This window comes from Homo sapiens, chromosome 12 (genome assembly GCF_000001405.40).
Source record: "Homo sapiens chromosome 12, GRCh38.p14 Primary Assembly".
Lineage (NCBI taxonomy): Eukaryota > Metazoa > Chordata > Mammalia > Primates > Hominidae > Homo > Homo sapiens.
In genome coordinates, this window is record NC_000012.12 from 120,686,190 (window position 1) to 120,709,643 (window position 23,454).

Sequence of the window (23,454 nt, forward strand, 5' to 3'; positions counted from 1 at the left end):
TCCCTTTCTATGCCTCAGTTTCCCCATCGGAAAAATGGGAGTTTGAACAGCGACCGAAGCGCAGGGATCGCCAGTGTGGGAGAGCGCCAGGTGAACTGTGAAGGAGCAGGGAGGGAGTTCGGGCCGTGCCCGTGCGGGACAACCCCGGTATCCACTCTGGGCACCGCCGGCGGCGACTCCCGCCAGCGCCTAGGGTGCCTCGGTCCCGCCCCTACGCAGCGGAGGCCGGCCAGAGGCCGTCGCCATGGAGACGCGAGCAGCCTGGCACCCACTCGCTCTCAAAGCCACGCGTTTCCGCTGCGTTGGAGCCTTCTCATTGGACGGCCGTCTGGACGCTACCACCCGCCCCGAGCCCGCTAAGGGGAGGGGGCGGGGCCTTATTCTCATGGGATTCGTTCCCTGGAGACCTGTGTCCGCGGCCTCTCTGGGAAAGCATGGGTCCTCTCCCTCACGCGGGGAAAAGGACTGCGTCTCTTAGGTCTGGAGAGTGTCCATTGCTTCTCCTACTAGAATTTATGCTCATGCTGCTCCCTGAGAAAAGAAGAGGGGGCGGGAAAGTCGGCCACGCCCCCTCCAGAGCCTATTTGGTCTCAGGAGCTAGAGCACCGGAAGTGCTGGCGACATGTCAGTGCGCCCTACCCTAAACCTTCCCCCCCCAGGCCACCTTTCCCATTCAGCTGTGGGATTCCGGGGCCGCCTGGGCGCTGCACCCGCCACTTCCGCATCGAACCGCCGCTTCAACCGAACTCACTCCCTCTGCGCGCGCTCCATCTGGTGCCCGACTGCTGGGCCGGCGCCTGGGAGAAGCCACGCCCTTTCCCGCGCCTGACAGCCAATGAGCGGGCGCCTCCCGGCGGGGTGGTGGGTAATTAATGAGGGCCGGGCGCTGATTGGCTGCAGCGTCGTGGCCGGGGGCAGGGCGGCGGGGTAGGTTGTTCCTGAGGTGGGAGGCGGTACCCGTGGCTGAGAAGAAGGAGGCCTGAGAGCGACATGTCCCCGGCGGCTCAGGCGGAGCGGCCCGTGGCGCTGTTTTTCTGAGTCCGGGGTGGCCTGGCAGCCGGCCGAGGACGAGGGTCGGCGGGGGCTGCCCCCGTGGTGGTGGCCGCCATGCTGGGAGCCTGGGCGGTTGAGGGAACCGCTGTGGCGCTCCTGCGACTGCTGCTGCTGCTGCTGCCGCCGGCGATCCGGGGACCCGGGCTCGGCGTGGCCGGCGTGGCCGGCGCGGCGGGGGCCGGGCTGCCCGAGAGCGTCATTTGGGCGGTCAACGCGGGTGGAGAGGCGCATGTGGACGTGCACGGGATCCACTTCCGCAAGGACCCTTTGGAAGGCCGGGTGGGCCGAGGTGAGAGTCCCCCTGCCGAGCCGCGGGATCCAGGGCCTGCTGTGCTGGGCGCAGCCGGCCGGGGGCTGCGGGCCCCGAGCCCCTTTCGACCCTGGGGCCGCGTCTCTGGAGCGAAGTTTCTCTCTGCAGCTTCTTCGGGGGCCCGCTCTGAGCTCAGGGCCTGGCACTGGCTCCAAGGTACCTAGAGTCATACAGGCAGAGAGTTGGCCAGAAGTTAGTTATATTTGGATTTCTCATCCTGCATTTTCTCAACCCCTCACTCCCATCCAAGCTGGGAGAGAAATGACGAAGGCGGCCTTTTGCTACCTCCAGGCCTCGCGGGTTGTAGGTCATGGGTGCCCCTGCTTCTCCTGTCGAGACAGTTCTTGGGAGATTCTCGTCGACCCAGGAATCGGCCGCTTTCCTTGCCCCTTCTGCAGGAGCGGGGCTTGATTCTTAGCCAGAATAGGAAGGAATCTTCGAAGAGAATGGGCCAGGAAAGTTTGATTGTAGCCTCCTCCCCCGCCCTCTTTTCGAGCGAAGAATATGTGTGCTTAAAAGTAGAATCGGCAGGCCGCCCCCAGAGGGTGGTTCTATCGAAGCCATCCTGCACGTGAGGCTGGTGGCTGTGTGTGAACTGGGTCAACCAGTGTAAGAATCCGAATGGTCTATCAGAGAATGCTTACAACCTCCCCTAGGTGATCCTGAGAGTTCTAATTCCAGCTTAGGGGGAAAATGATTGTGACTTAACTTGCTGGGCAACAGTGGTTTTTAACGGAGCTGCTCCCTTCCCAAAGTTAGTGTGTGTCAGAATTGCCAGGGCAGCTGGTTAAAAATGCAGATTCCTAGTCCCCACTCGAAATTGATTATAGTAGATTGAGCTTTTTTGCTGGGATCCAGGTTTCTGCACCAGGGGCTTGTGATGTAGGTTGCCCCGAGACCACCGTTTTGGAAGATCAGCTTTATAATCTTTGTTTCTTCTGTTGGAGGGATTGGAAAACAGGTTTCAGAAGGAAGTTCTTTGCTAGGAGATTGATACTGTATGCTGGGTTCAGAGGCTACCAAATTGGCAGTATGCCACCTCCAGACAACCAGGAGACAGACTCACTCTTCACTTTCTCTCATTCTTTTTCTGCGATGCCCAGATTTGGCTCTTGCTTTTACTAAAATAGTTAGTTCTTCCCAAGTCGATTGCAGTGTCCTGGAGTTTGTTATATTAAGGAGTTTATTGCCTTTCACACATGTGAGGGTCTTGGGACACAGGGCTGTTTTGTGAAGTTCTATGTTTGTCTTGGAGTTTGTTGAGCCCTGGCATGTAGATCACAGTAGCCTGGGTTCAGCTGACTCAGGGCTCCAGTCTTTAGCAGCGGTAACAGCAGCCAAAGCCAGACTTTATAGCAGGAGGTCATTACTATCTCTATCCTGGACCCTTCCTCTTTCTTCACGAGTGTGGGCAGGGAGGAAAGAGCCCTTGAGGAAACTAGACAGTTTGTGGACTTTGCCTCTTGAGATAGCGGTGGTGAGGGTGCTGAGCGGATGGTTTCTTTCACTTAGCAGATACCAGGCCTTACATTGGTTACATCGTCCTATTCAGTCTGTTGTGCAGAGAATAAAGCCGAGTAAGACCACACAGGTTTAGTTCCCAGATACTGCCCTTATTCAGAAATTCTGGTTTTAATTTGCTGATGCAGGTGGTGTGTGTGTGTGTGTGTGTGTGTGTGTGTTTCTTTGGCTTGGTCAGCAGTCAGCCAAGATCTGTGTCCTTGGGTTATTGGCTCATGGTTGCAGTTCCTTGGAAGGAGTTTATTGTAGCAGGTAAAATTACATGAGACCTACCAAAGCTTGTGTGTACTGGAGTCCTATTTCGGACACTGGCCCTTGGGGCATTGTATAAATGAAGGTTCCCTGCTAAGGTTCCCCTCTCCATTCTACCAATCTGGGTAAGAATTGGAGCAGTATTAAGGCATGGATGGGGAGTGGGAGGTGGCGCTTGTCAGCTGCAGTTTGGACCAGCTTGTTGCAACATTGCGCTTACCAGGTTCCTGAGAAAGGCATTTTGCTGGCTTTAGGTCGGGCTGAGATGCGCATAAGCTTGCACTCTCAGGAGGCAGCTCTCTACTAAGGAGTCAGTCCTACCAAGGGAAGTCCAGCTGTTCACACTGCCTTTCTTCTGGGCCTGTTTGGATAAGGGTGTGCCAGGTATTTGAAGACCCTTGCCTCGTGCAGCTATTTACACTGATTGCAGTAGGAACTGTATGCCTTATTTCTTTTCCCGCCTGCCTGTGATATTGTTTCCAGCATGCTGAGAAAAGTTGATTTTATGTTGAATGAATTCAGGTATTTGTTACCAAGTTAGTCCAGATAAGGGTTTGGCCTTCTTTTGAACTTGCTGTTTCTGTGTAGTTTCTTTGTAGTTCAACATTCTTGTAATTGTGAGTGGCCCAGGGCACCTAGTGGTTTATGCTTTCAAAAGCAGTTCAGAATATTTATTGAATTTCATTTCTGCCTTGAGGATAGCTAGTGCTTACAGCCTGGGAAAGGCTTTTTCAGCCTGTGTGCTTCCACAGATGGGAGCACCACTACAGAAAGTGGTTTAGAAGCGTTCACCTTGGGGTTTTGGTATGAGGCACATTCCAGGGTTTTTATTTATTTATTGAAAATTTTTAATTTTTTTTTTATTGTAGACACAGGGGTCTCACTATGTTGCCCAGGCTGGTCTTGAACTTCTGTCCTCAAGTGATCTTCCCACCTTGGCCTCCCAAACTGCTGGGATTACAGGCATGAACCATCACGCCTGACCATGTTCCAGATTTGTAACTTGGTCATTTTGAGTTCCTCTTCACTCTGACTAGGAAAAGACCTGGTTATTTGACCTGAGGGCACAGAATTTTGCTTGAGTTTAGGGAAGGCTATTTCCTCTTCAGAGAAAGATACCTGCTAAAGTCGCAGGTCCTCGAGAAACTTGCTTTACGTCTCTGAGCCTTGTTTTCCTTTTCAAAAAATCTCTCATGCTTTAGAAATTTCTGATAAGACTGTAAACTCTCCTGTCCAGAGTAGCTTGAAGTGTCTCTGTCACTTTTTTTTTCCTTGATGACCTTTTACATGGAATTAAAAATAGGGCAGAACATAGCTCCAGAGGGGAAAAAAGTTGGTTGGGGACCAGAGCCTATCAGGTTGCTAATGCTGTAACCTTAAGGAATACCCTTTCCTGGGCTGCCTTCCTTTCACCTGGGGAAGGATTTGGCTTTGGGGAGGTAAGAGCTTGAAACATGGGATGAGAGAGGAGTCACTGCTACCTCTGATTTGCTCAAAGCCATGGCAGTTGTTTAGAATTCTCTACCTCTACTGTCACCTAACAGGCAGGCTTCATCTGCAGGCCTTCCAAATAGTGGAAGTTCACAGGTAGAAAATTTAGGTCCCTGAATCCGTGGGTTCGCTGTCTCAGCCCATTCAGAACAATTCTTTAGGTACTGGCCTCACTGGAGAAAGAAGTGATCCAGAAGAACAGTCTAGTGACCAGGAGATCTGAGGGTAGGGTGGGAGTGACGCTAGAGCACCAAGGGGGGCTTTACAGCTGTGTTCTCATGGAGGACAGGCTTCTGCTCATTCTGGCTTTCCCACTCTTGTGGTTCCCAGTTGCAGTTTTCCAGTTAGTTTTATTACTTCCTTTTCTTTTGATCCATTCCCTAAACTGCCTTGAGTGGAGGCATTTGTTTAGTGCTTATCGTGTGCATATCCTTGCCTGGCTAGCATACCCATGTTTCTGTGTCTCTCTCCGTGTGAGGCATTGTATTGAGCTATTTATACAGATTGTTTTATCCTTACCACAATGCTGTGGGATAGGTGGTGTCCCCATTTTATAGGTGAGAAAACAGACCTAGAGAAAACAACTTGTTCAGTGACACTTCGTGTATGTCTTTTCCTGAACCCTGTGCTGAATTTTCCAAGGAGCCTAGTTACTACATTGTCTAAAACTAAGAAAGAGCAGACATAATGTAGGCCCTTCGGCCCCCTTCCTTTTTGGTTAACTGAGTTATGCCAATTTCAGCAGTATGCTGACTGTACACTTCATTGTATTTTAGAGAAATCTGTTTCGCTGTGAATGCATAAAGGCTAAGGAGGGAGGAACAACCCTTGTTTGCTGCTGCATCTCTTGGGACTTGGGCAAATTCAACTTTGCACGTGGCAGATCTCTTGGGAAAGCCACTTGGGTTTTAAAGGGAAATATTTTAAAGGTAATTCCAAGGTTGTTAAGTAATTTTTGTTCACATGGTTGAGTTTTCTTCACTGTGGGACTGAGACTGCCGCAGATTACGTTACTGTCAGTTCCTCACTTTTTCCACTTGGCAAGAAAAAAAAAAAGATTCGGCCTGGTGTGGTGGCTCACGCCTATAATCCTAGCACTTTGGGAGGCCGATGCGGGCAGATCACCTGAGGTTGGAGTTGGAGACCAGCTTGGCTAACATAGTGAAAGCCCGTTTCTACTAAAAATACAAAAAATTAGCCGGGCGTGGTGATGCGTGCCTGTAATCCCAGCTACTTGGGAGGCTGAGGCAGGAGAATCGCTTGACCCTGGGAGGTGGAGGTTGCAGTGAGCTGAGATTGCGCCATTGCACTCCAGCTTGGGCAACAAGAGCGAAACTCCGTCTCCAAAAAACAAAAACAAAAACAAAAAAACAATTCCCCACCCATGCACAAAATTTTCTGTGTATCCGTAAATCAAATGTAGTCGATGTTCCAGATTTGTAATGATCACAGTCCTCATGGAAGAAGGAAATTCTTAGAGCTCAGTTGGAAGAGAAACAGCAGTCTTTCAGTCTTCATAGGTTTGTATCCCGGGGCAATGGTTTTTTGAGGCTGGAAAGGAGGGGGAGCATGTTAGCAGTACATCCTTTGTATGCATTGCTCAGCTACTCTTTGATTTCTTGAGGAGAAATAGAAAGAAAAAAGTCTGAAGACAAAAGTGCAATGAGTTTCCTCTTCCATTGTCTCATCAGTCCCTCTGATCTCGTGGCTAATGTCACTTACAGGAACTGTTAACAGTTATGTTTATTTTTTTGAGGTCTTGACCTCAACCACTGGGTCTTTTTGTTAATCTTTTACCTTTTGCCATGTCTTCTCCCTTGTTGATGATTCAGAAGATAAAGCTCTGGGGATGACAGCCCCTGGCCTTCTCCCAAAGGATCTAGTTGCCAGATGTCTTCAGGGTCACCACGTGAGATTGGAAGGCAGTCTTGAAATCTTAATTTCATGCGGGAGGAGAGACTACATGACGGCTACATCTGTAGTTGGAACAGTATATTTATGGAGCACTGGAAAGCCTTACTGTGTTTATAGGATAAAGGAGTCAGGCTACTCTCTGGAGGAAGCAGAACTATTTACCTCTGAGACTGAAATGTGATATCTTATATTTGCACAAAAAAGATTCGGCCTGGCGCGGTGGCTCACGCCTGTAATCCTAGCACTTTGGGAGGCCGATGCGGGTGGATCACCTGCGGTCAGGAGTTTAGTGTGTTGTGCGAGAGGAAGAAAAAAACATATATACAACTGTCTTACACCAAGGTTGGGAGAGGGCCAGGGCCAAGAGAGGTTTTCTGCTCTTCTGATACTGACCCGAGGTAAGTAACTTTTTACTTTTATCCTCTCTCATTCCTTGTCAGTTTGTGAAATGTGAAAGGTGATTCCCCTAGGACTTGGACATCTTAGGCAGATTGCCTTGCCCTGCAGGATGCTCCAGCCTTGTGGACAGAGTGGCATGGCTTCACTGCTTTGCAGGCACCTCCTTCATTGTCATTTATTCATTCAGCAAACTGTATGAGTGGCGACTATGTGCCAGGTCCCGTGCTAGGCACTGGAGGTGCAGTGGTGACTTTTTTTTTCTGCTGTTGGTTTATCTGAGTGAATGTTCAAGTAAGTAGGTGAGGTGGAGTTTTGTGAGTCTGTGGGAAGGAAGGAAATTAGCATCACACCTTTCTTTTATGAGCCTGTTTTTGTTTACAGCTTTGGAACTTTTTGAATGAAAATTATAAAAAAAACACACAACAACTAAAGCTGGAATTTTATTCGTAAGGACAATGAAGAATGACTTTCCAAAGCAGATATCCTGTTTGTTTTAGACTCTGGGCTTTTCTGAATGAGAGAAAACATTCTTTGAACTTCATCTTGTATGGAGTTCCTGGCCATCCCCCTTGTTTTAGGAGGTTTCTCTGAAGCCCTCCCTCTTGGGGAACCAGGCAGCTGCAACACAGCACTTTCTTCTGGTAATGAGTTAGACTTGTTCTCCGTACAGTCAGGGGGAAAAAGTCATTTTAATGTGCTTTTAGAAAGTTCCGCTCTGAGGTTTACAGGGGCTGTTGGCCTGATTAGTGTTTAGTTTCTTTCATTTTACTCTTCCATAGTAATGGCTGTATGATTCCTGCCTTTGTTGGAGCTCTGTTTGGAGCCAGGTGCAGAGTGGGTGGCCCCTTTTATGGAGAGGGTTATTAGCATTGCCCTGGAAATGCCTCTGGCTGTTCTGGGGTCTTTGCTTTTCTTTTGTGTCTTGCCTCTGATGTGCTTTCTCTTTGTCTTTTGTCCTCAGCCTCAGACTATGGCATGAAACTGCCAATCCTGCGTTCCAACCCTGAGGACCAGATCCTGTATCAAACTGAGCGGTACAATGAGGAGACCTTTGGCTACGAAGTGCCCATCAAAGAGGAGGGGGACTACGTGCTGGTCTTGAAATTTGCAGAGGTCTACTTTGCACAGTCCCAGCAAAAGGTGAGGCCTAGTCAGGCTGCTGCTTGACCAGTAGGACATTGCTGCTCTTGGACAATCCACGATTATGGGGCTAGAGAGTGTGAGAGTCTCTCCAGAAAGGCAGAACAGATGAGCTCTAGAGAAGCATGTTCCATAGTGCACAAGGCTGCACTTGCCTTGGGGGTGAGTGACAGAAAGCAATGCCAGAATCCTTGTTTTGCCAACTAACTGATCCTGTTAAGGCCCTCCTGGCTACTTCCCTCCATGGTTTGCCGCACCTTCTTGTTTTTAGCCTTATTTTTCCTCTGTCCCTTCCTGTGAATTTCCTTCTTCCTATGCTAAGCTTTTTGTTTGTATTCTTTGTTCCTTAAAGCCAATATAAGAACTCCTGGGCAGTGAAGGAACACGGCTTTGATTTGACCCGGGTTAAGGATGCTAACCACCCTGGATATCCAGACCCATCATTTCTTAAATTATTTTTGAACTTCAAGCCCAAACACGTGCATGATGTCCAACTGCTTGAAAGGATGTAAAGCTGATGGTTTTGACATTGTTTTCTTTTCTTATCCTGGAAGGTATTTGATGTACGATTGAATGGCCACGTCGTGGTGAAGGACTTGGATATCTTTGATCGTGTTGGGCATAGCACAGCTCACGATGAAATTATACCTATGAGCATCAGAAAGGGGAAGCTGAGTGTCCAGGGGGAGGTGTCCACCTTCACAGGGAAACTCTACATTGAGTTTGTCAAGGTAATTCCCCTATTCTGCCCATTGCTGAAGAGAGTGGGTACAGGGGAAGTTGTTTGCTGCTGTGTGGGGTTGACCACTGTTTCCCTTTTCCTAGGGGTACTATGACAATCCCAAGGTCTGTGCACTCTACATCATGGCTGGGACAGTGGATGGTAGGTTGTGTTCTGACCTGCTTTTTTGACTTGAGTGGAGGGATATGGTTGAGGAAGCCCTTGGGAGGTAATTGAGCTGATGACTATTTTGGAAACACTTAAAGCTAAATTGTAGGGGATTCAGAATCAGTTGGATAAGGATGAAGCATAACATGGTACTAGCCACAAGCTTTGGAGTCAGGTCTATGTATATCTTGTTGCTGCCATTTAATCAGATGTTTGTCTTGGATGGATGCTTTTAATTTCCCTATAAATTGGGATTAATAATGGTACCTATTGGTGTACCCTGACCTTTGTAGTCATTTGGGATCACCTAAAACTTGTCCTTATTCTGTTTGTTTGACATCTCTTTCCTAGGGGAAAAAAAGGTAAAAGGAGGAGTCCTGTAGGCTTTTGGTATGCTCTGAAAGATTCCAGCATTGCTGGACTGCACTGGGACAAAACTTCACTTATTTATGTCTCCTTATCCTTGGGATCAAGTCTTAGAGTATATTTCTTTCTCAGGGTTTAGATTCTCCTGGCTGCCAGCATCTCAGGCTGATTTTTGCAGAGAAAGCTGCGTCTTTGTGACATTTCTCCCCCATTCCACCTCTGTACCTTTCCCCAACTCAATCTTGAATGCACTGAGGATTTCATCCTGTTGTCTTGATGTCCCCCAAATGCTGATATTATGACATCTAGGAGGATGAATGTCTTACCACCAAACAGACCTGTGTTCAAGTCCCTGAGGAGGAGGCAGGACAGAGGGATAGTGTGTGCTGGGAACCCAGAACTCTCTGGGTCAACGTTTCTTCAGTTGTTGTGTGAATCAAAAGGGAATGTGGGCTTGTGGGAGGAGGAGGGATTTGAAAAGGCTAAAGTTTAGGCATTGGATCATTGTCCCTGTCCAGTCTGGTTATCTTGGGGCTCTGTAAAAGTAGAACAGGAAGGTAAGATAGTGAACCTCCCTATGAGCACGGCTTTTTCTACTTTCTAGTTAAATCTAAAGCTTTTGCAGCACTCTGCTGTTCTGTAGACCAGAGGCTATTTCTGCTACTTCTGGTCTTTTCTCTGGACCCGGGTTCAATCACAGCAATCTCTTTATTGTGGCTTATTTGCTGCTTTTAAGGGTCTCTCTTACTTAAATGCTGTGGGTCTTAACAGTGTTTTCTTCCTTGTGTTAGATGTACCAAAGCTTCAGCCTCATCCGGGATTGGAGAAGAAAGAAGAGGAAGAAGAAGAAGAAGAATATGATGAAGGGTCTAATCTCAAAAAACAGACCAATAAGAACCGGGTGCAGTCAGGCCCCCGCACACCCAACCCCTATGCCTCGGACAACAGCAGCCTCATGTTTCCCATCCTGGTGGCCTTCGGAGTCTTCATTCCAACCCTCTTCTGCCTCTGCCGGTTGTGAGAACAAATGACTATCCTGAACAGGGTGGAGGGGTGTGGGAAAGAAACCAGCCATATTGGTTTTGGTTTCTGTATTTTTCACAATGATTAATGAACAAAAACAAAGAGAAAAAAACACACATCAATTAAAGGAGACAAAAAGAGGCAGAGCGAGTAGAGAGCAGCCCTCATTCACCACCTGGTCCCAGACGTGCTTCAGTCCTCGTCCTCTCTTTGTGGCTGGCTCCCAGCCTTCTCTTTCCTCTTGAGGATACTTAGGGTAAACTGGATCCTTCCTGCTCAAGGATCCTCATTTGTATACCTAGTGGAAAGGACTCTGAACTCAGAGGAGTCACTGTTCCTTTTTTTAGGTTAGAAATTAACAGCAGGGAAATGCCATCTTATTACCTGAGACGACCAGCACTGGGAGTTAGGTACGGTCTGAAGTTATGTCTAGATAAGACTTCAGACGTCCTGGGATTGAAAGAATGTGTGTGAAGGGGTAGAATTTGTGCGGTAAAGACTTAAAAAAAAAAGTAGGGAGATTAAAAAAAAAGAAAGAAAATGCTTCCTTATCTGGAAGCCTTTCTGGATTAATCCAGTGATGGTCCCACCTTTAGTGTTTGAGCTTTGTCATTGCTTGTCTCCCTGGCATGTGCCAGTTATAGACTGTCCAGCATCCAAGACGTTTCGGTTATGTCGGGTCCTCAGATCGCCTCTGACTTGTTACCACAACAAATCATTTTGATTTCAGTGCCTGTTGGGGACTTGATTTCTTCTCAGTTTTGTTTGTTTGTTTGTTTCCTTAATCTGGCTCATTTGAAATTTCTTCTCCCTCTCAACCATCCCACTAAGTTATAGCCAAGAAGGGAAGGAGACACGGGGATTTGGGGTTCTCTGCTTGAATGTCTTCTCCTTTACCACCTCACCTTGTTGGTACCTCCCTCCCTGGATCTCTGAGCCAGCAGCCAGGAGGACCTGACCCAGCAGTTCTTTACTGGCCCCTTTGTAGGGCCTTGCTGCCAGGGGGCAGGGATGCTTTCCAGCCTGCAGCAACAGAACACTTGACCTTAAAAGTCTCTTCTGGTCTTTGGATTAGAAAAGGCTTATGTTAGCATAGCTTAAGAGCAACCTCAGAGATTTGAGCCCTACTAAGTGACTGACCACTGTTTAGAGTGTCTGGTATCTGATGTTCATTTATTCCCATGTTCTTGTGTGTCACAGTTCAGCCAGTTTTGGTTTATGCCTAGAGCTACTTCAAGGAACTAGACTAATTAGCTATATAGGCCCAGCGATGCTTCTTATTGATCTTAATAGTATGCCCCTCCTTCCCCTGTCCTTTCATTTCTCTATCCAAGTAGCAGTCAGGTTCTTGGTGTGATGGGACTGAAAGAATTCCAGTCAGCCAGAGCCTTGGCAGCTCTGAAGCTAACCTTAGCATCTAAGTGTCGATCTTGAATTCCCTGAAAAAATTTCTATAGGAAATGAAGCTTCCCTGGTCCCCTCCTTTCTGGCCATTGTCATCCATTTCCCAGTTAGGGCAACAATGAAGGAGGACCCAGCCAAGCTAGAAGGAATTTTGTGGATGGGAGACAGCAGGATTAGCTTCAGCTTGGGCTGGAGCAGTCAATATAGGATCTCAGGCCAGGCCCGCTTTTCTAGAATGTGTTTAATTTTGAGTTTGCTTTATTAGATATGTTTTTTAAGAGCTCTGTATATTTGAACTGCTCCTTATGTGACAAAATAGGTAGCTCTTGGGCTCATGTCCTGGGTTTTGGCTCTTTAATGATTACTCCAGGCCAGCATTTAGTCGTTTGAGAATTGTAGCCTGTTGTTTTCGCTGTGACTTGGGTCTCAGTGCTAGGGTATTGAGTCAGGCAGCTGGAGGGTTGTGGCCCGAGGCTGCAGTCAGAGGTATACTTCCCATAGTGCTTCACACAGCTCCCCTGCTTCTAAAGGATAAGGTACTGTAGCCTTGGTCCTGGGGACCACCTGCCTGGGGCAGTGGACATCCTAACTAAACAGGCTTCTGGCAGTAGCTTTGGTTCCTATCCCATCGAAATTCCCCAAAGCCCTGGGCCACTGCCATTGGGTTAGTCAAGATGAAGGAGGAGGACTGGCTGCCTCCATTTTGCCTTGTTTGTTAGTTTGCCTGGGTCTGTCTGAGGAAGGAGGGGGTCCCGCCTTCCACCTCAACACATCCCTTCAGTGACTCAGAGTCTCAGAAGGAAACCCTGACTCCTGGGGCCATTTCCTAATGGTACTGTAAGCCAAGCAGCTTTGCTTCTGCCTCTGTTTCCAAGCCCACCCTTTTCCCCTGAGCTCAGGGTTAGGGATGGGCGCTTTCCTCTCTGGTTGTGAACGAAAGGAAGGAACATCTTTCTATGGCTAACAAAAACTAAAGGGGAAGTGAGGAAACAGGAAGAAGTATGGTGGGGGCTGGGGTAGACTCCCCTGGAGCCAAGCCTATCCAGCTAACAAGAGCTCCCTGGGGCTGGTCACAGCTGGCTCATGATGCTGAACTTGAAAGTTTTTTTGTTTTTGTTTTTGTTTTGTGGCTCCTCCAAGATATAGGTACATGAAGTTTAGGTTAAAGGGGTGGGATTCTTTATTTTTATTTTTGTATTGTATGTGTCAAGAATTACTCTGTTGTTCACCTTTTGCTTTTTGCACTGTTTGTTCTCTTATCTGTATTTTGAGCTTAGTGCTAGGACTGAGAGGCTGCACCATAGGGAATGTATGGGAGATGGTGAGGGGTGCCAGTGAGGGGTGCGTGGAGGAGAGGCCTGGGCTCCTCTACTGGATCTACACTCTGTCCCAGGTTTTTAGATCCCACTGAGCCCAGCTGACTGAAAACAAGGACAGTCAGGGTGAAACTTCTTTTGCCAGAAGTGTGGCCTGAGTTGAATTTCTGGGAGGATGACGCAGATGTCTGCTGCAGAGCTGGGCTGAGAGTTCTGCAGTCTAGCTCTGACTTAGGTCAGGGGCCTGTTGGTCTCTCATTGGACGTTTTTGGGTCTCACTCATGCTTACTGAAACATTGTGCCAAGAAACTCTGTGGGATTTGTGTCCCTTAAACCAGACTCACTTTTCTGAAAAATCTCCATTGTTGAGGAGAGGCTGCTCAATCGACACCCCGAGTTCTCATGACTGGGAAGATAGTTTTCTTCAGGTGTCAATGGCGTTAGACTCCCAGGAAGACTAGCCCTGCCCACAGGGCCACCTGTTGGTTTGAGAGCGTGTTCGTGTTCTCTTGCCCTCCCTGCCTAAGAGCTACTGGGATCACGTTAGCGGGCATTTAGGCTTTGATGAGAGGGCACAGTTTGAGTTAGGTTTACCTCCCCCTTTCTGTGCCTGGGAACTGTTTGGTCCAGCTTTAGAACTGTGGTTTTGACTTCCTTATCTCTTGGGAGAAGCTTCTGTTTTAAGGAATTTCTCTTCCTTCTTCTCCTGCCTCTAGCCTCTCCTGGAAAGGCCTGGATATGGTTTCTAAAATCTCAGCTGAGAACTTCAGAAAACAGCAGCAGTATTTTCCTTTTCCTAGTGCTAAAATCCCTTTCCCTAGAAATTGGCTCACCTTGGGAAACCCAGGGAAAGAATCAGCAGGTTCTCTGCCCTCCCTAGGGGTTGGGGAAGGACCCACCCCGGTCAGCACAGTGCCTTTTCCTCTCCTGCTCTGAGCCAGGGTGGGGCATTCCCTCTAGATTCAGGTTTGGGCAGGGGTCCTATAGTCCCTGCCATGGGGCTGCTTCCCTGTCCCTTCCCTCCCCTTTGCTGGCCTACTCTGGCATAATTCAAGTGTCTTCTTGCCTTGGGGATCCTTAGTGGCATCAAATGGCAACATGGAATATTGTCCTCCATGCCCCTCCAGAAGGACCTAGGAGAGTAGGTGAGCTTTCCAAAGTGAGAGACGAATCTTTCTTTCTTTTTTTTTTTAAAGGGCAGGATGGGTATGCTTTGGGCTTTCTCCTTCTGTGGCCCCGGAGGAAGGAGAGACTGAGGCAAGGCAAAGTGATAGTACACGGAAGCAGAACCGGAAACACCCAGGAACTGTTCAGAAATCTCAGAAGAAATCTGCTTCTCTTCGATGGAAAGATATAATTAACGATCAAAGAGCTCTAAGAAAATTGCAAAGAAGCCTTAATGTTCAAGCTTTAGAAAGATCAGAGCAATTTTTCTCTTTCAGTCCAAACTAAGACTCTCTGTATTTAAATCTCTCTGGGGCAAGAGGGCTAGATTTCCTCATTTTGTTATGAGACTAGATTGGTACCAGTAGATCAGCTGCCTAGCGAGGGCAGGTTTCTTCTTTGCATCTGTGTGGCTTGCTTCCAGTCTGGCCTGTCCTTTCCAGCTGCCTTTTGTCTAGCCTGCTATGGGGGGCCAGATTATCTTGATAAGAGCAGGTGATTTGGGGACTAGCTGGGTTGGCAGGAAAAGAGCAGGATGGATCTCTTGGGACAGGTTCCCCCAGGAGTATAAACACAAGGAGCCAGGATTGTGCTGGCAGCCAAGGAAACAGTAGTGCCTGTTTGAGTTGGCAGAGAGGGCCTTGGCACCTCTTGCATCCAGGCAGTCTTGTGAGATGGGGGCACATAGCACTGGGGAAAGCAGAACTCCATTCTCACCTCTATTTTGAGCTTCAGTGCTTTATTTCAGTATGAGGAAAAACAACAACAAACTGAAGTGCGCTTTCCGTCCTTTCAAAGGACAACTGTCGGGAAGGGAGAGCCGAGTTGCGAGGTAGGAGGGGAGCACTGGCAGGGAGAGACATTCTTGACTCCTCTCTTCCCTGGTGTGTTGTGATCCAGGGAATGAAAAGAAATTTGACCCTGGATTGGTTCTCTCCTTGGACTTAAGGAATCTTACCTTTTCCTTCCACAAAGTTCTCCCAGGCAAGGACCAGCTGCCCATTCTGAGCCCAGGGCAGCCTCTTCAACCATTATTGGTCTAACCTGGCTTGTCAGGAAACCAAGCCCACCCTTCCACATTGGGCCTGGCTGCTCTATTCTGTACCAAGTACTGGAGAAAAAGCATCAAGTTCTTAGCCCTTGTAGCTTCTACCCTAGTTTCCCATCCTCTCTCTGTGGAGGCCAAACCAACTCTTTGCCAGCAGCCACAACATGCATTGACAGCGGCACAGTGAGATATAACTGATGGGCTTTGAACCTGGTTGGCCGGGGAAGCTGTAGGGGTGGATAGAGCTGGCTTTCCTTCTGGGCTGTCTCCATCTGACCCTACCCCTTCCATGTCCCACCCCACTCCCACCAAAAAGTACAAAATCAGGATGTTTTTCACTGTCCATTGCTTTGTGTTTTAATAAACAATTTGCAGTGACACTCTGTGTTGGGACTGAGTTCGAACTTGATCTCAAAGCGCTGAAGTGATGGGGTGGGAAAAAGGAGACCCAGGGGTTCACTTGGCTCCAAAGAGTTCTCCTGTGACGAGGCTGGGAACTGTTGTCCATTTAGCTGTGTGTCTTTTGCTTTTCTTCTCTCTGGGATGTTTGCTTAGGGGAATCATTCTGTAAAACCCTTCCTGGTCATTTCAACTAGCAGCGCATTTAAGGACAAAAAATTTGTTTTCACTTTCACTGGAACAACTAGGCACAGACTGTCCCACTCTTAAGGCACACTGGGCCTATTGCTGCCTCTCCTCACCATTCCCTTAGCCTCTGTGATAGCCCACGGACAAGCTAAGCTAACCTAAGCCATAGGAGATTTTTCTCTGCTTGCTCCTTTTCTGGTGTTTTGTCATTGTTGATTACACATTAGGAAGAGCAGAATGCAGGAGGGATTTTTTTTCCTATAATTTATAAGCCACGTTTTACAGGTGAGGATCGTTGAGCCAGGCATGGTGGCTTAACGCCTGTTATCCTAGCACTTTGGGAGGCTGAGGCCAGCAGATTGCTTGAGCCCAGGAGTTCAAGACCAGCCTGGGCAACATGGCGAAACCCTGTCTCTACTAAAAATACAAAAATTAGCCAGGCATGGTGGTGCATGCCTGTAGTCGCAGCTACTTAGGAGGCTGAGGTGGGAGGATTACTTGAGCCCAGGAGGTCAGTGCTGCAGTGAGCTGAGATTTCGCCATTGCACTCCAGCCTGGGTGACCCAGACACAGACACACACACACAGACACACACATACACACACACACACAAACACTGAAGCTCAAAAAAGTTCAGTAACATACCCCAGACTAATGTAGTAAATGGTCTGGTCAAGCCAGGGTTCAAATTCAGTCTGTTTGCCATCAAAGCCCCAAGCTCTTTAAAGCTGTAAAGATAATTACAGCTGTCCATTACTGAGTCCTTGAAATGGGCTGGGCACAATGCCCAGCATTTTCCACATGTTATCTCTCTTTTATCTTCAACAAACCAGTTGCTATTCCCCTTTAAGAGATGAAGTGACTTGCACAAGGTAGCACAACCAACAAAAGGCGGAGCTGGGGTTTTAAACCAGGACTCCTGCTCTCCATCATTACCCTCTGCTGCCATCCATTTCTTCATGGTGCTGGGTGGCATGGCTCCAGAGCCTACCTGCGGGATTTCTCCGAGTGGGAATGGAGACTGCTGGCTTGCAGGGGTAGGGAGGGGTGGAGGTGGAGGAACAGGAGTTTGGCCTACCTCCCTCAGTTATCCCTTGAAGGGCAGAATTCAGTGTGCAGCCCCAAGAGTGAGGCCATTGTTGATGGAGTCTGTTCTCAGGGCCCAAACAAGCCAGGAGGCCCACAGAGCCTCTTTCTTAGGCTGAGCCCACCCATAACTGGAGTTCTTTCCTAATTCAGATTTCGTTGTTACTATTTCAAGTAGCTTTGCATGAGCTGCCAAATGGGGAAGAGACCTGAAGAACTCCTGCTCTAGGGAGTTACAGGGAGGGAAATTGTCTGACAGAAGATCTTGGGCCAAGTACCGGGGTTGGGTTGGACCACTCTGTGGGTCCAGATCTTAATCTTACTAAGGAAATCAGGCTCCCGGTTGGCTGGAGCCGGTGAGACCTTTCTCCATACTTAGTACCCCCCATCCCCCATAAAGGAAGAGAGATGAGTTTTTCTAGTACTTACTGGAAAGCTCATTGCTATCGCAGTGGTGAGGGGTCAAGGCAGAAAGGAGGCGGAGCATGGAGGTCCTGGAGCGGGCTTGCCTCTGCTCTCCAACAACCTAAGGCCACAAGCACCTCGCTGCAGCACCCTGGCCCAAGAGTCTCAGTTTTGTTTGTTCCTAACCACTTAACATTAGTACGAAATAACTCCACTTGCTTTGTCACTGCACTCTCTCACCTGGATCCATGGCTTCTCCCTGCCCCATGCGCCTGCCCTGTGTGCCTGCCCTCAACAGAGGGGGCGTGGAGAAAGAGGCCACTTGTGTATATTGTCATAGTGACCATTCATGGGACACTCTTCCTGGCACCAGTACAGTGCTTTTTCTTGCCGTTTTGTGTCTCTTCATAACAATCCTAGGAAAGACCTGTGACTAGCCTGACTTATAAATGAAGGCACAAAGGCCTCAGGAGAGAAACGACCTGGCCAGAGTCACATAGCTGGTAATTGGCAGAGCAAAGACTGGAACCCAATGCTGTTTGACCCCAAAATCTGTGCTTTTAGTGCCATGATATACTAGTTTTAAAGAGGAACCTTTGAGTATTGATAACTGATGAATCTATGATTACATGGAGGTTTTATTATTTCTCTGAAAAAGTAACTTTTAAGACTTGGTGATATAAAGATCTATAAATATATACAGAAATAAATTCTTAAAAAAGTGTTAGGAGTGCAAAATGTGAAAAATCATTTTCTTTTCTTTTTCTTTTTTTTTTTCCTCTTTTTGAGGCCGGGTTTTGCTCTGTCACCCAGGCTGGTGTGCAGTGGCAAGATCTTGGCTCACTGCAGCCTTGACCTCCCAGGCTCAAGCGATCCTCCCACCTCAGCCTCCTGAGTAGCTGGGACTACTACAGTGTGCAGCCACCACACCCAGCTAATTTTTATACTTTTTGTAAAGACAGGATTTTGCCATGTTGCCCAGGCTGGTCTCAAACTCTTGGACTCAAGTGATCCGCCCACCTCGGCCTCCCAAAGTGCTGGGATCAGAGGTGTGAGCCACCATACCTGGCCTGAAAAATCATTTTCTTCCCTATCCCTCTAATCCCTAAAGGATAATACAGAGGACATTCTGGTGTGTATCTTTCATTTTAAATGTATTTACATATATATATGTGTATATATGTATTTATATATATGTAATATATATGTAAATGTATTTACATATATGTGTGTAAATGTATTTACATATATATGTATTTACATATATATATATATACACACACACACACACACAGAGTCTTTTTAAACAAGTGGGAATATACCATACATATCATTCTGTGCCATTTTTACTTAATATGTCTTAGAGAGGTAGTTCATATAGATGGGTCAGTACATAGAGATTTTCCTCACTCAAGGGCTGTACAGTATCTTATGGTTAGATTGTAATTGATTTTACCAATCCCCTGTAGATGAACATTAAGATACTGCTCATTTTTTGCCAGTACAAACTGCTGCAGTGAACATGCTTATGCATATATCTTTGTGCGTATGTGCAGGTGTTTCTTTAGGGAATTCCTTTAAGGAATTACTGGATCAAACAATATATGCATTTAAAAATTTGAAAGTACTGTCCTCCATGAGGCTATATGAATTTTTACTCACCAATCTTGTGCTGTGACTTTGGAATATGCCAGAAATCTCTTTTGGAAACAGGTAGGATATAAATAATAAATAATGCTTTTTAAAAACAGCCCTCTGGCTAAGCGCAGTAGCTCACACCTGTAATCCCAGCACTTTGGAAGGCTGAGGCAAGTGGATCACCTGAGGTCAGGAGTTCGAGATCAGCCTGGCCAACAAAGTGAAACCTCGTCTCTACTAAGAATATAAAATTAGCCAGGCGTGGTGGTGGGCACCTGTAATCCCAGCTACTTGGGAGGCTGAGGCTGGAGAATCACTTGAACATGGGAGGCAGAGGTTGCAGTGAGCCAAGATCATGCCGTTGCACTCCACCCTGGCAACAGAGCAAGACTCCTTCTTAAAAACAAACAAACAAACAAACAAACAAACAGCCCTCAGCCAGATAGTAGAGTGACTTGGTACTAAGGAAATTACTAGCTCTTAGTCCCAGACCACAAGCCATGCCTGCAATCCCAGCCATGATTTGCTAATTCAGTGCATGCCATCTGGGGAGGCAGCAGAAAGCAGGACTGAACTTTCAGTCTTGGCAGAAAAATGCCAGCTGATGATGTCTTGCTTACCTTGGTTACACCAGCTCTGGGCCCCACCTGCCTGGCCTGATTTGAAGGCAGACTGCCTGGCTACTCTGGGACTGCCCTGGAAAACAGCCACTCTCACACCTCTTACAGGGAGGAAAACAGCCAGCGGGAGAGAGTCAGCCCTGAGCTGGGGGGAAAGGAAGGCTGGCCCTCTGCTTTTGGTGTCAGGATTACTATTTAATGCAGTAGTCCTCTATTTTCCTTCTTCCCCCAAATAAAGTGTTAGTATATGTAATTTTCAAAAGACATTTTAAAAGAGCCTTTCCCCACACCTCAAAAAATTTGATGTGGAAAGGCAGATTGGCGGTTACACCCCTAATTTTTCCTACCCCTTTAAAAAATGAAATTATATATATTTCCTTCCCTTTCCCTTTCCTTCATTTCCTTCTTTCTTTTCTCGTTTCCTTCCTTTCCCCCCGTCCTTTCTTACAGTCTCACTCTCACCCCTCGAACTTCTGGCCTCAAGCAATCCTCTGGCTTTGGCCTCCCAAAGTGTTGGTATTACACGCATGAGCCACTGTGCCCAGCCAGTCTATTCCTTTTAACCAAAATTCATAGGTAGTGCCCAGAGAGAGTACAAGCTCTGACTCATATGGCAGTATTTACTTAAAAAAAAAAAAAAATGCCAGGCATGGTGGCTCACGCCTGTAATCCCAGCACTTTGGGAGGCTGAGGCAGGCGGATCGCCTGAGGTCAGTTCAAGGCCAGCCTGACCAACATGGTGAAACCCCATCTCTACTAAAAATACAAAAATTAGCTAGGTATGGTGGTGGGCACCTGTAATCCCAGCTACTTGGGAGGCTGAGGCAGGAGAATCGCTTGAACCTGGGAGGCGGAGGTTGCAGTGAGCCAAGATTGTGCCACTGTACTCCAGCCTGGGCGACAGAATGAGACTCTGTCTCAAAAAAAAGAATAATAAAAATAAAAAATAAAGTAAAATAAAAAAACAGGCCAGGCACAGTGGCTTACGCATGTAATCCCAACACTTTGGGAGGCTGAGGCAGGTGGATCACAAGTTCAGAAGATCGAGACCAGCCTGTCCAACGTGGTGAAACCCCGTCTCTACTAAAAATACAAAAATTAGCTGGGCATGGTGGCGCGTGCCTGTGTTCTCAGCTACTTGGGAGGCGGAGGCAGGAGAATCGCTTGAACCCAGGAGGCAGAGGTTGCAGTGAGCCGAGATTGTGCCACTGCACTCCAGCCTGGGTGACAGAGCGAGACCCGTCAGAAAAAAAAAAAAAAAAATTAAGTTTGAGGTTGCTTTTAAATTTTAAAAGATTTGTAAGGCAACTTTGGCATAGAGTTTGCCTTCCAGACACAGATCCAAAAGTATTTTCTTTTCTTTTTTTTTTTTTTGAGACAGAGTCTTGCTCTGTTGCCAGGCTGGAGTGCAGTGGCGCGATCTCAGCTCACTGCAACCTCCACCTCCCAGGTTCAAGCGATTCTCCTGCCTCAGCCTCCCAAGTAGCTGGGACTAAAGGAGTGTGCCACCATGCCCGGCTAATTTTTGTAGTTTTAGTAGAGACGGGGTTTCACCATATTGGTCAGGCTGGTCTCGAACTCCTGACGTTGTGATCTGCCTGCCTCGGCTTCCCAAAGTGCTGGAATTATAGCCGTGAGCCACTGCACCTGGCCGGTATTTTCTTTTTAAAAAAGTATACAAGCAGCCCATGATTATATGCTTGAGATAAAATAGTACAGAAGTAGTAGTTCTAAATAATGTCAAAAGTGAATATATTTCCTTTAGTCTCTTCTGATACTCTCCTCCCCAGACGTAATCAAAGTTAATGTTTTAATGTATATCCAGACCTCTTCCTTTACAGTTACAAATGCATATTTATATTTATGTCTATGTCTATCTGTGTTTTTTTTTTTTTTTTTTTTGAGACAGGGTCTCACGCCCATGGCCCAGGCTAAAGTGCAGTGGTGCGATCTCAGCTCACACAGCCTCGGCTTCCTGGGCTCCGGTGATTCTCCCACCTCAGCCTCCTGAGTAGCTGGGACTACTGGCATGCACCACCACGCCCAGCTAATTTTCGTATTTTTAGTAGAGACGGGGTTTTGCCATGTTTCCCAGGCTGGTCTCGAACTCCTGGGCTCAAGCAATTTGCTCACCTTGGCCTCCCAAAGTGCTGGGATTACAGGCATGAACCACCACACTCGGCCCACATCTAAATATTTATATACTTTTTATTTTAAATAAATGGGATTCGCGGCTGGATGCAGTGAGCTGTGATTGTGCCACTGCACTGCAGCCTGGGTGACAAGAGTGAGACCCTGTCTTAAATAAATAAATACACAAATATGACTCTGTGCCTTGCTTTTTGCCCTACTTAATATATGTTTGAGATCTTTCCATACTAATATATATGTCTCATTTTTTAAAACAGCTCTATGTAACGTGAATGGATACAAATGTAATTTATTGTAATTTGTCAATATTACAAATCTCTGTGCATGCAGGTAGGGTAAATTCCTAGATGTGGAATTGCAGGTGAAGAGGTTACATTTGCCATCATCCCTAGAAAGAGAAAAGCCATGGTCCAGGTAACTAGTCTTGGTGCTATGAGAACAAACCTTCCGTAAATAAGTATATGGGAAATGACCACATGCTAAACCACCCTCTTGGCCATTCACAATCAAGTAGCATATTAAAAGTTCTGGAAATTCTTCAGTAACCACTCTGTTGAGTGGTTTAAAAAGAGTTGTTTGTAAAAGGAAAGACTTTAATTCTTTGTACACATTTATTAAAATCTCCCTGAACAGTTAGTTAAATGCCACCATATACTAATCTCTCAAAGACAGTACAGCATTTGGGTAGGAATTTGGCCACACACTATGCCACCCAATTGGGCAGCTGGGGTGGGGTCAGGTTTGGACTTTGTCCAGGAACCAAGAGATGCCTGTCTTGGTGGCTTTGGTGAGAGGGACTCAGCAAGCAAGGCCTGGCAAGAACGTCAAGAGGCTCTGGGGGACGGTTGCAATTTTACTCTAGCCTGGCTGAGAGGTGATGTCAGACCTAGCAGACACACTGCATCAATCAGGCCCAGGCCTCCAACACAGAACAGTGCAGATCTAGAATCCCTAGAGAAGGAGCCCCTCAGGGTGGAAGACGGTAGACCACATCCCCCTGTTGACCCACTTCTGGCTAATTGGTGAGGTCATGGCTAACTTCCAAAGCTCAGTGCAGATATTGCCTCTGAAAACTTCCGAAGCCCTCAAGCTTTTACAGCCAGGTCAGAATAAACCACTCCTGTGTGTTCTCCTAGCACCTTTGCTGCATCTCTTAGTGCAGTCAGTGAATCTAGTTTGTCTTCCAGTTCATACTAACCTACCTTGTGAAAAGGAAGGGTCACATAATGAATTGTGTACTTTACAGTCTTCTCTAACAAAAGTGGGAGCTCTTCCATAGTGGGATACTGTTCAGGCTCTCATTCAATCATTACTGAGCACCTACCACGTGTCAGGCATTAGCTGAACTGCTGGGAATTCAGGGGTGAGGCAGACCCAATCCCTGCCCTCACTCTTACATCTCCTGTAGCCTAGCCCAATGTCTAGCCCAGGGCCTGGCACAGTAGGGCTTACGGATGGCAATCTCATTGGAAAGTTTGTCTTGAAACTGCCTTTGCAAAACAAACACTGCTTTAACTTACCTTCTATGCTAAATATATTAATAAACATTTTCTCAAGATGCATTGTCCACTAATAGCTTAGTGTTGAAGAACAGGCCTTGGGTCAGATGGACCTGGATTAAAATCCCTGTTCCCTCCTCTTACTGCTTGAGGGACTTTGGACATGTTACCTGACTT

The 23,454-nt window shown here is 47.3% G+C and overlaps 1 protein-coding gene and 2 long non-coding RNA genes across 8 annotated transcripts in view, besides 6 other annotated features; 1 reads left to right on the forward strand and 2 right to left on the reverse strand.

Moving 5' to 3' along the window:
- Positions 1–960, reverse strand: part of LOC105370029 (uncharacterized) — a 10,974-nt gene extending 10,014 nt beyond the window's left edge. The window contains exon 1 of one of the 2 annotated variants that reach the window (XR_945449.3): positions 665–960. This is a non-coding gene — a long non-coding RNA (uncharacterized LOC105370029). The remainder of the gene's footprint in view (positions 1–664) is intronic. The other variant, XR_007063490.1, reaches the window with a different exon arrangement.
- Positions 79–178: a silencer, noted in NCBI's record as "silent region_4962". NCBI's record gives its function as "represses an Ori minimal core promoter by ATAC-STARR-seq in GM12878 lymphoblastoid cells {active_cell/tissue: GM12878}" and the evidence as "EXISTENCE:reporter gene assay evidence [ECO:0000049][PMID:35858748]".
- Positions 339–448: an enhancer, noted in NCBI's record as "active region_7148". NCBI's record gives its function as "activates an Ori minimal core promoter by ATAC-STARR-seq in GM12878 lymphoblastoid cells {active_cell/tissue: GM12878}" and the evidence as "EXISTENCE:reporter gene assay evidence [ECO:0000049][PMID:35858748]".
- Positions 539–668: an enhancer, noted in NCBI's record as "active region_7149". NCBI's record gives its function as "activates an Ori minimal core promoter by ATAC-STARR-seq in GM12878 lymphoblastoid cells {active_cell/tissue: GM12878}" and the evidence as "EXISTENCE:reporter gene assay evidence [ECO:0000049][PMID:35858748]".
- Positions 763–1,264: an enhancer, noted in NCBI's record as "H3K27ac hESC enhancer chr12:121124755-121125256 (GRCh37/hg19 assembly coordinates)". NCBI's record gives its function as "activates a minimal SCP1, AML or CMV promoter by ChIP-STARR-seq in naive H9 embryonic stem cells {active_cell/tissue: H9 hESC(naive)}" and the evidence as "EXISTENCE:reporter gene assay evidence [ECO:0000049][PMID:30033119]".
- Positions 763–1,318: a biological region, named in NCBI's record as "H3K27ac hESC enhancer GRCh37_chr12:121124755-121125256".
- MLEC (malectin) lies at positions 960–15,670 on the forward strand. Of its 4 annotated transcripts, XM_011539032.2 has the most exons (6): positions 1,304–6,147; positions 6,460–6,939; positions 7,902–8,080; positions 8,635–8,811; positions 8,906–8,963; positions 10,127–15,670. In XM_011539032.2, the coding sequence occupies exons 3-6, from the start codon at positions 7,916–7,918 to the stop codon at positions 10,354–10,356; spliced, it is 630 nt and encodes a 209-aa protein (XP_011537334.1). In that variant the 5' UTR covers positions 1,304–6,147; positions 6,460–6,939; positions 7,902–7,915; the 3' UTR covers positions 10,357–15,670. The 4 variants fall into 4 exon arrangements, with proteins under 4 accessions (NP_055545.1, NP_001290557.1, XP_011537334.1 ...); NM_014730.4 differs by lacking the exon at positions 6,460–6,939 and having other exon boundaries at positions 960–1,342; NM_001303627.2 differs by lacking the exon at positions 6,460–6,939 and having other exon boundaries at positions 2,121–2,245.
- Positions 1,019–1,318: a silencer, noted in NCBI's record as "silent region_4963". NCBI's record gives its function as "represses an Ori minimal core promoter by ATAC-STARR-seq in GM12878 lymphoblastoid cells {active_cell/tissue: GM12878}" and the evidence as "EXISTENCE:reporter gene assay evidence [ECO:0000049][PMID:35858748]".
- LOC124903035 (uncharacterized) lies at positions 15,622–20,311 on the reverse strand. 2 transcript variants are annotated; one of them, XR_007063489.1, is made up of 2 exons: positions 16,524–20,311; positions 15,622–15,855 (listed from the first exon to the last, which is right to left on the reverse strand). It is a non-coding gene; the product is annotated as an uncharacterized LOC124903035 (long non-coding RNA). The 2 variants fall into 2 exon arrangements; XR_007063488.1 differs by having other exon boundaries at positions 15,622–15,882.
- Between the last annotated feature and the right edge of the window lie 3,143 nt (positions 20,312–23,454).

What these genes read in the sequence shown, in the direction of transcription:
- MLEC (NM_014730.4), top strand. Translation starts at nt 1,108, where the DNA reads ATGCTGGGAGCCTGGGCGGTTGAGGGAACCGCTGTGGCGCTCCTGCGA. An exon ending in GGAAGGCCGGGTGGGCCGAG is followed by an intron (nt 1,343 to 7,901) that starts GTGAGAGTCCCC and finishes TTTTGTCCTCAG; the next exon opens with CCTCAGACTATGGCATGAAA. An exon ending in CATGGCTGGGACAGTGGATG is followed by an intron (nt 8,964 to 10,126) that starts GTAGGTTGTGTT and finishes TCCTTGTGTTAG; the next exon opens with ATGTACCAAAGCTTCAGCCT.